General features: G+C 43.6%; 1 annotated feature.

Moving 5' to 3' along the window:
• Positions 2,994-4,193: an enhancer, noted in NCBI's record as "MED14-independent group 3 enhancer chr7:68445097-68446296 (GRCh37/hg19 assembly coordinates)". NCBI's record gives its function as "activates an origin of replication core promoter dependent on BRD2, BRD4, P300/CBP and CDK7 cofactors, and independent of MED14, by STARR-seq in HCT116 cells {active_cell/tissue: HCT116}" and the evidence as "EXISTENCE:reporter gene assay evidence [ECO:0000049][PMID:35650434]".

Below are 10,575 nucleotides of genomic sequence, written 5' to 3' on the forward strand. Positions count from 1 at the left end.
TAAGCTATGATTGCATCGCTGCATACTTCAGCCTTGGCAACAGAGTGAGACTCTGTCTCTCAAAAAAAAAAAAAAAAGAAAAGAAAAGAAAAAAATAAGAATTGCTGCTCCTTCTCCTTCAGCTGAGTCTTTGGCATTCATTAAAGCATCCAGCCTTGCCAGCACACAGAAAACACAACAGGTCAGCAGAGGTCCCTAGGCAAAAGAGTGAGGCCAAATGCCTGGGTTCTGCTGGAAGAAGCAAGGGTTAAAAGATTGCCACCTGCTTCTGTTGCTTTACCTCTAGCCCCCGCTGTGGAGTAATAACCCCTGAGAGAGAAGAGGGAAGGCTGGACAGAGTGCAGAGGGGGAAATGTAGATGAAAAGAAATCAGAAGGCTTTTACTTTCATGTTTCAAGTACCAAATTATGCTTGACATTTGAATTTTCCCCAAGGCTCACTTCCATAAAATCATGCCAAATTACCCTGAAAGGGTTAGAGCTTCCCGGAGAGACTTTTGACTGTAATCAAACAGGTTTCCTCCATGGTTGCAGACATTCTGAAAGGGTCTGGGGGAGAAGAGGGCAGAAGGGCCGGTGAGGGAAAGCTAGCGAAGGAACGGCAGGCGTGGAAGGTGCGTTTCCGAGCAGAGACTCATCGTGAACCAGAGCATAGGAACAGCTCTTTCAATTGCAGACATCCCAATGAGCTAGAAGGCTATGGAGAGGCCAGAACATTCTGGCACACAGGGACGTGTAATAATACTCATATTGGCTAACATTTATGGAGGTTTATTGCAAGCCGGGCGCTGTGCTGAGAACATTACTCATTTGAACTTCACAACAGCCATAGAAAAGCAGGTGCTATTACTATTATCCTCGGTTTGCAGATGTGAAAGCTGAGACCGGGAAAGATGAAGTCATTTATCCAGGTCTTTTAAATGCCAAAGCCCAAGCTAGAATCACTACTGTGCTGCCTGAATGAACAGGTACAATGCCATTGCAATGGGAAGAAGAAAGGTAAGACATGATGCCAAAATATCACTGGATATTTTATGAATTGTTTGATTGAATCAACCAAATCACCTAGCTCCTTTTTTTTTAAGCAACTTTTGCTGGCATATTTTTTATTTTTTATTTTATTTTATCTTATTTTTTTTTTGAGATGGAGTCTTGTTCTGTTGCTAGGCTAGAGTGCAGTGGCGAAATCTCAGCTCACTGCAACCTCCGCCTCCCAGGTTCAAGTGATTCTCCTGCCTCAGCCTCCTTGAGTAGCTGGGACTACAGGCCTGTGCCACCATGCCCAGCTAATTTCTGTATTTTTAGTAGAGACGGGGTTTCACCATGTTGGCCAGGATGGTCTTGATCTCCTGACCTTGTAATCCACCTGCCTCGGCCTCCCAAAGTACTGGGATTACAGGCATGAGCCACTGCTCCCAGCCTTGCTGGCATTTTTTTTTTTTTTTAATTTCAGCTTCTATTTTGGATTCAGGGGGTACCTGTGCAGGTTTGTTACATGGGTATATTGCATGATGCTGAGATTTGGGGTATGAATGATCCCATCACCCAGATAATGAGCGTAGTACCAAATAGGTAGTTTTTCAGTCTTTTGCCCTCTTCCTCTCTCCCTCCTCTAGTAGTCCCCAATGTCTATTGTTTCCGTTTTTATGTCCATGTGTACCCAGTGTTTAGCTTCCTGCTTATAAGTGAGAACATGCAATATCTGGTTTTCTGTCTTGCACTAATTCACCTAGGATAATAGCTTTTAGCTGCATCCATCTTGCTGCGAAAGTCATGATTTCATCCTTTTTTATGGCTGTGTAGTATTCCACGGATGTCATTCAGTTTCAAGGGCCTCATCTAGACTAGCTTATATTCACTGGCTAATCAGAAAACACTAATTTCATCATGGCATTCACCTTCTGGACATGCCAATATTAATGCTTGATAGGAGTGGATGCCAAGTTGGAAAAGAATCGCCAAGACAAGTATGAGTTCCCTGTTGCAAGAAACCTTGGCCTTCCCAAAAAGATCCCATCACTTCCTCAAAAAATTAAATGTAGAACTACTATAGGATCTGGCAATATTTCTTCTGGGTATACATACGAAGGAAGCAAAGTTAGTATCTCAAAGAGATATCCACACCCACGTGTTTATTGTTGCATTATTTACAATAGACAAGATATGAAAGTAACCTAAGTGTCCATCAATGGATGAATGGATACAATCATGGTCTTAGATATGCAATGGAATACCATTCATCCATGAGTGAAATCTGCCTTTTGAGAAAACATGATGAGTCTGGAGGGCATTATACTAAGTGAAATAAGCCAGACACAAAAAGACAAATACTGCCTGATCACACTGATACGTGGAATCCAAAAAAGTCAAACTCACAGAAGCCAAGAGTGGAACAGTGGTTGCCAGGGGCTAGGGTATGGAGAAAATGAGAAGATGTTGGTCAAAGAGTACAAACTTTCAGTTACAAGATGAACAAGTTCTGAGGACCTAATATATAGCTTGGGTGGTGATGAATGTGTTCATTAATTTGATTGTAGTATTCATAACACAATGTATGCATATAAGAAATCATTGGCCGGATGCGGTGGCTCAGGCCTCTAATTCCAGAACCTTGGGAAGCTGAGGCGGGCAGATCACCTGAGGTCGAGAGTTCGAGACCAACCTGACCAACATGGAGAAACCCCGTCTGTACTAAAAATACAAAGTTAGCCAGACATGGTGGTGCATGCCTGTAATCCCAGCTACTGGGGAGGCTGAGGCAGAAGAATTGCTTGAACCCAGGAGGCGGAGGTTGCGGTGAGCCAAGATCGCGCCTTTGCACTCCAGCCTGAACAACAAGAGCGAAACTCTGTCTCAAAAAAAAAAAGAAAAGAAAAGAAAAAAACATCTTCATATTGTATACCTTGAATATATTCTGTAAGGGAAGAGGGGAAGCTTCTCTCTCAGCCTTGGAGGGTTCACTGAAAAATCAACTCACAATTAGGCAGACTAATAAGAAAAAAAAGCATACAAATTTATTTAACCATGCATGTGAGTCACAGGATGATAATCAAATTTCCCAATGGGGCTCAAACACTTACAGAACTGAAACCACTTTTGCAAAATTATGACTGAGACAGTGAAAGAGGTCTAAACTAACCAACTCCATCTTGCCTCTAGCCTCCAAGCTGTCCTTGTTCATTCTTGGGTGTAGGCTGAACTAATTTTGAGAGGAACTTAGTTTATAGTTTAAAACGAAGACAATAACAGCCCCTTCCCAAAACAAATCTCCTTCTTACCTGGGGACTAGACTGCATTTGTAGGACTAACATTAGCCACAACATTAGAAATTATGGTTTGGGAGTCATGCAGCTGGAGGCTACAAGATTCTGACTCTCCCTAAACTGCTCCTAAGATCAGTGCCTGAGATATTTTACAGACCCTGCACTTGATGGATCAGCTGGCACCACCCAGATAAATTAACTGGCTCATCTGATCTTGCGGCCCCCACCCAGGAACTGACTCAGCACAAGAAGACAGCTTCGACTCCCTATGACTTCATCCCTGACTAATCAGCACTCCTGGCTCACTGGCTTCCCATGATCCACTAAACACTCCTTGAAAACTCTAATCCCCAGAGTTTTTGGGGAGACTGATTTAAGTAATAACAAAACTCTGGTCTCCCACACAGCTGGCTCTGCATGAATTACTCTTTCTCTGTTGCAATTCCTGTCTTTATAAATTGCCTCTGTCTAGGCAGCAGGCAAGGTGAACCCACTGGGCAGTTACAGAACCTCCGTTCAAAAGGGTTATTCTGTTGAGGGGCATTAAATGATTAATTAATCATTAAACGTTATAACAGATGGGGAATATAGGTAATTCTGTTGAGGGGCATGAAATGGTTACCAAGATAAAAATGAATGGGTATTTGGGAGAATGAATGGAAATTGGGAAGAGAGATTGATTTGTAAATGGTTCTCTTTGGAAGCTGAATGAACCAGGGAGACAGGCATTATTTTGTAAAATGGTTAGGCCAGGTCTGGCTACATTCTTCCTTTCCTTTTCTGAAATGGATAATGAGATAGCAGAGAAGAGAAGGATAAAGCAATTGTTCTTCTTGGTGGGCCCATCTGATCTTTACGAGGATAAGGGAAAAGTATTTTCCAAGTCCTGTGGATTTCATAGGGTTTTTCAAAATATTCATTATACCAGGGAGTCATATTTGGGGGTGAAATTCTCTATGCTCCTTCAATTCCATCCTTGTCAATTAAATATTTGAAAAGAAAATTTTTAAAGAGATTCTATCACAACAGGTCGTTGTGAGTCTTGCCTCAGAATCTGAGCCTGTTTCCTTGCAAACCCCTTGCTGGCTTTGCCCACAGCTGTGATTCACACTCTTGTTCCTACCGTATTTTGTTTCTTTGCTCTCAAAGCGTGAACTTGCCTCCCTGTCCAGTGACACCACCTTAATTGAGGTCACCATCATTCTCTCACCTGGATTATTTCTAAAACCCTCTAACAGTTTTCCACTCCAACTCTTGACCTCTCCATGTTTCTGCCAGTGATCTTTCTATAAGCAAAGCTGATGGTGTCATTGCCTGCTTGAAGCCCTGCAGAGCTTCCCATTCTTCCCAAAACTGAGCCCAGGCTCCTCACCGGCTGCGCAAAGACCTCCTGGCTCTGTTCATTCTGGGTATATGTCTCCCCAAGCCTTGTGCTCCATCCACTGTGAGTCATTATCATTTCTACAAATGCACTGTAATTTCTTCAGCCACTGGACCTTGTGTATTCTATCCTCATATCTTCAGCCAGATCAAAGTGCCGTGATGGGAGGAAACGTGTTCTAAGTGTAAAAAGTAAAGTAGAGGTTCCTCTTCAAAGACTTTCCTTCCCATCTAATTAGGAATAAATAGTAACTTCTCTTAGAAAGCAAAATTTATTCAAAGACCTGTGCTAACATTATTAAATATCTGCTAGCTGTAATAAAGAAATCAATATACTTTATATTCTTAGCTCCCACAATTTAGCCTAAATATTTACCCTACATGCTTAAACTGGTCCAAGTAAGCATTAGGTCATAGCCTGTTCCTCTTCCTTATTTGAAGGTGTTTTTACCTTTCTCAGCATTCTGCAAGTTCCTTCCTCTTTCCTTTGTTCTCCTCTGCCTTTGCCTCTTTTAAAAAGTTCTAAGTTGCTAGCCAATCAGGACAAATACAGAATGTGAGGTCTCATTCCAGCCAATGGAAAGCGGACACAGCAGTAAGGTGGACGCATCAAGTTATAAATGACTCTGTCTCCTTTGTTCAGTGTACTCGTGTTGCAAAACTGCTGGCGAGTGTACCTTTTCTGCAGAAAGTGAAAATGGCCTTGCTGAGGAAATTAAATTTGTGTTCAAGTGCTATTTCTTTATGGTACCAAGGAACAATCATTTCTAACATAAGCAAACTCATATTCATTCTCCAGCTCCCAAATCCTCGTGTAGACACAAGGCCAACTTATTTATTTATTGTGTTAAGAGACAGGATCTCACTATATTGTCCAGGCTGGACTCAAACTCCCAGGCTCAAGTGATCCTCCTCCTGCCTCAGCCTCTCAAGAAGTTGGAGCGACAGGTGCATGATGTCACGCCCTGCTAATCAACTTATTTATCTGAGCAATAAACTATGTAAAACAACTGCCTCTACCTTATGACTGCATAGGAGTTTCAGATGCATATGACTATCGAAGTCCACACAGCCACAAACACATGGAAACAGCTAGTTATCCAAGGGTAAAGTTCACTACCAGGAAACTGTTCACTAACAACATGGAAACCACAGTTACAGTTGAAAGAAATGCTAATGTTGAGTCCCAAGTTGAGGCACTCTGGAACAGTTAACTTGGAATATATTTTATTCATTACCGAAGTTTAGCTTCATTTGCCTTTTTTTTTCCTGTTTTTACCTTTAAACTTAGCTCAACCTCACTGAAACTGCCTTTGCACAAATTGTATCAGTTAGAAAATTAAGGCAATGAAGGAGGTCTGGTCTGGCCAACCCTCACCTTGCCTTTGGCCTTCAAGCTGCTCTTAATCATTCCTGGATTTAGACCAAGCTAACTTTGGAAGACATTAAGTTTATAGTTTAAATGATAACAGCCCTTGCCCAAAACTCAACCATCTTCATAAAGCCAGTGAGAGACCACCAGGCTAGGAAGATGAGTGGAGGCTGATTTCTGCTAAGGTGTAGACATAAACGATTGCCAGCCATTATTCCAGAGGTCACAAGATATGCAACCTCCCCAATTAGTCCTTCAGATAACGTCACTATTGCAGAACCTAAGATTGGCCTTTTGAGATATCTTCTCAGATTTTTTTACATTTCTGACTACAGATGGCCCCACCTGGACCCACCAACTCCAACCACTCCCGTGTCCCCTCCCAGAAGTGACTCTGTGTGTAGGAGGACCATTTCCTACACCTTTATGATGACACCTCCAACCAATCAACAGCAAGCACACATTGCCTAGTCACCCCCAACCCTTCCCCCAAACTACCTTGGAAAAACCCTAGCCCCCAAATGCTCAGAAAGATGGATTTGAGTAATAACTCAATTTTTCACATGGAGTAGCCAGCCTTGCATCAATCAAACTCTTTCTTTCCTGCAATGCTATTGTCAGAGGCATTTGAACCAGAGCAACTCCATCTTGAATAGAAGCTGGGTAACATGAGGCTGTGACCTACTGGGCTGCATTTCCAGACAGTTAAGGAATTCTAAGTCACAGATAAGATAGGAGGTCAGCACAAGATACAGGTCATAAAGACCTTGCTGATAAAACAGGTTGCAGTAAAGAAGCCGGCCAAAACCCACCAAAACCAAGATGGCCACAAGAGTAACTTCTGGTCGTTTTTGCTGCTACACTCCCATCAGAGCCATGACAGCTTACAAATGCCATGGCAACGTCAGAAAGTTACCCTATATGGTCTAAAAGGGGGAGGCATGAATAATCCACCCCTTGTTTAGCATATCATCAAGAAATAACCATAAAAATGGGTAACCAGCAGCCCTCTGGTCTGCTCTGTCTATGGAATAGCCATTCTTTTATTCCTTTACTTTCCTAATAAACTTGCTTTCACTTTACATACTTGCCCTGAATTCTTTCTTGCATGAGATCCAAGAACCCTCTCTTGGTGTCTGGATTGGTACCCCTTTGCTGTAACATTTTGGCTCAGGGACCACGCAGCCTCTTCCTAAACCCCATCTTCAAAGGCACCAGCTTTAAAAAAAATGAAAGCAAGATGTGTTTTCTTACATCTAATTTCCTAAAACCTAAATGGCAAGTCAGGAAACAGTGAGGATCTTAAGACGTCCTCGACTGTTGGACCTGGATAGGAGCCCAGAGAGGATTGACGAGGCGGGTGTGAGGCCCTTCCTGGGAAGTGAGAAGCACCCACTCACCAGCTTCTCCCTGGAGCTCCAGTTTCTCCTCAGGTGGCAGGCAGCTCAGAGCTCACTCTCCATCTGTGTGTGTCCAGAGCTTTCCTGGGTCTCGTCATGGGTCTCTGATTTTGCCAACTCATAGTGGCACGTAGGCCCAGGACACCAACCCTGGTGAAATGCATTAAGATGTTGACGGGAAGCATGTCTTAGCTTCAATGAAACACACTTCTTTATGCCCATGCTTGAAATGTTCACACAATTAAAATGCTTATGAAGAGAGATACATGAAGCTTGCATTCAAACATTAGAGATGGCTTTACCCTGGTTCTTTTCTTTTTTCTTTTTTAAATTTACATATATTTTTTATTTTTTATAGAGTTCTGGTCTCCCTACATTGCCCAGGCTGGTCTCAAACTCCTGGGCTCAAGGGAGCCTCCTGCCTCCGCCTCCCAAATTGCTAGGATTACAGGTGTGAGCCACCACACCTGGTCCTACCCTGGTTGTTTTCTTTTATTTTCTTTCTTTATTTATTTTTATTTTTATTTTGAGACAGGGTCTTGCTCTGTCACTCAGGCTAGAGTGCAGTGCTGCAATCATAGCTCACTGCAGCTTCAGACTCCTGGGCTCAAGGGATCCTCCTGCCTTGGCCTCCCAAAGTGCTAGGATTACAGGCATGAGCCACTGCACCTGGCCCTACCCTGGTTCTTTTTTATTATTTTCTTTCTTTCTTTCTCTTTTTCTTTCTTTCTTTCTTTTTCTTTCTTTCTTTTTTTTTCTTGATAGGGTCTTGCTCTGTTGCCCAAGATGGAGTGCAGTGCTGTGATCATAGCTCACTGCACCCTCAAACTCCTGAGCTCAAGAGATCCTCCCTCCTCAGCTTCCCAAATAGAAGGACTAAAGACGGCCATCAACATGCTGGGCTATTTTTTATTTTTTGTAGAGATGTGTTGGTTATGTTGCCTATGCTGGTCTCAAACTCCTGGTCTCAAGCCATCCTCCCTCCTTGACTTCCCAAAGTGCTGATATTATAGATGTGAGCCACCATGCCCAGCCGTGGCTCTTCATTAAAAAAAAAAAAAGAAAGAAAGAAAAGAAAAGAAGCCATGCAGATATGCCTCTCAGATCTCTTTCCAAGAATGAATTTGGGCTGGGCGCAGTGGCTCTCACCTATAATCCCAGCACTTTGGGAGGCCGAAGCAGGCAGATCACGAGGCCAAGAGATGGAGACCATCTCATGAAACCCCATCTCTACTAAAAATACAAAAATTAGCTGGGTGTGGTGATGCATGCCTGTAATCCCAGCTACTCAGGAGGCTGAGGCAGGAGAATCACTTGAACCCGGGAGGCGGAGGTTGTAGTGAGCCGAGATCACACCACTGCACTCCAGCCTGGTGACAGAGTGAGACTCCATCTCCAAAAAAAAAAAAAAAGAGAGAGAAAGAATGAACGAATTTGCCATTCAACTACAAAGAGTGCAGTTAGACATCGGCCTTCAGCTGCAGCAGTTGAGCTGAGGCCAGTCTTCCCAGACAGTGCCCAGTCAGTGACTGAGCTTGGAAAGGGCACCAGGGCCTGGCCAGTCCCACTCAACATGGGACACCTCTCTGGGATGTCTCTCTGCACTAGAGGTCCCCATTCAGCTTGCTTAGATATTCTCATAGTATTACCACTATCTCAGACTCTTGCTACCCCGTCTCCCTTCCTTCTCCTTCTCCTTTCACAGGTACCAGGCCTGTACAATGATCTCAGGGCATTCCCTGCCCTGACAAAGACTCTTTGCTTAGTCAAACCTCAGTTAGGCCTTTGAATCTTCTACTAGGCCTGTCTGTGCACTTTCTTATACAATCCAGTTTTAACAAGAACCCTGCTAAGTCAGTTTAGCAAGAACCCCTCTGACATAGTTTGGATATTTGTCCCCTCCAAATCTCATGTTGAAATGTGATCCCCAACGTTGGAGATGGGGCCTGATGGGAGATGTTTTGGTCATGGCGGTTGGATCCCTGATGAACCTCTTGGTGCTGTCCCAGTAGTAATGAGTAAGTTCTCACTCTGCCAGTCCCTGTGAATTCTGATTGTTAAAAATAATCGGGCACCTCCTCCCTTCTCTCTTCCTTTCTCTCTCACCATGTAGTGCTAGGGTTGGTTCTCCTTCACCTTCTGCCATGAGTGGAAGCTTCCTGTGGCCCTCACCAGAAGCAGATGCTGGCACCATGCTTCTTGTACACCCTGCAATAAGCTATGATGATTGCACCACTGCATTCCAGCCTGAGAAACTCCAGCCTGCAGAACTGTGAGCCAAATAAACCTCTTTTCTTTATAAATTACCCAGCCTCAATATTCCTTTGTAGCAACACAAACAGACTAAGACACCTTCCATCCTTGATATCTGATAATCTTTGATATGTGACCAGGTTTCTCATCCTCCACCATTCCTCAGGTGTGTCTGATCCTCCTGTCCTGTCTTCAGCAAAAATCCTATTAGATCAGTTTAGCCAAAACTCCCCTTACCCCTGATGTCTTCTCTTAGTGAGTTTCCATCTACTAACTCACACCTTGTTCCATGGCTATAAATGTCCACCTGCCCCTGCTGGATTTGGAGTTGAGCCCAGTCCCTCTTTTCCACTGCAAGTCCCTGTTGCAGTGGTCTTCATTGCAGGGGACACCATGGTGCCAATTGTTCAGTGTTGAATGAGAGCCAAGAAACAGGTGGGGGCCCAGCCATATTGCAATGGTCCTAAATAAAGTCTTTCTTATTGTGCTTTAACAAGTAATATTGAATAATTTTTCTTTAACAGCTCATACCATAACGGTCTGAAGACTTCACTGCCTCCTTCTCCTATTTACCTTTCACATCACAGATAAAGTTCTTGCATTTCTTTTCTTTTTCTTTCTTTCTTTTTTTTTTTTGAGACAGAGTCTCACTCTGTCACCCAGGCTGTAGTACAGTGGTGTGATTTTGGTTCACTGCAACCTCCGCCTCCCAGGTTCAAGTGATTCTCGTGCCTCAGCCTCCCAAGTAACTGGGATTACAGATGTGTGCCATCACCCCTGGCTAATTTCTGTATTTTGAGTAGAGACAGGGTTTCTCTATGTTGGCCAGTCTGCTCTCAAACTCCCGACCTCGGGTCATCCACCTGCCTCAGTGTCCCAAAGTGCTGGGATTATAGGCGTGAGCCACC

The sequence above is a fragment of the Homo sapiens genome, chromosome 7 (genome assembly GCF_000001405.40).
Source record: "Homo sapiens chromosome 7, GRCh38.p14 Primary Assembly".
Classification (NCBI taxonomy): domain Eukaryota; kingdom Metazoa; phylum Chordata; class Mammalia; order Primates; family Hominidae; genus Homo; species Homo sapiens.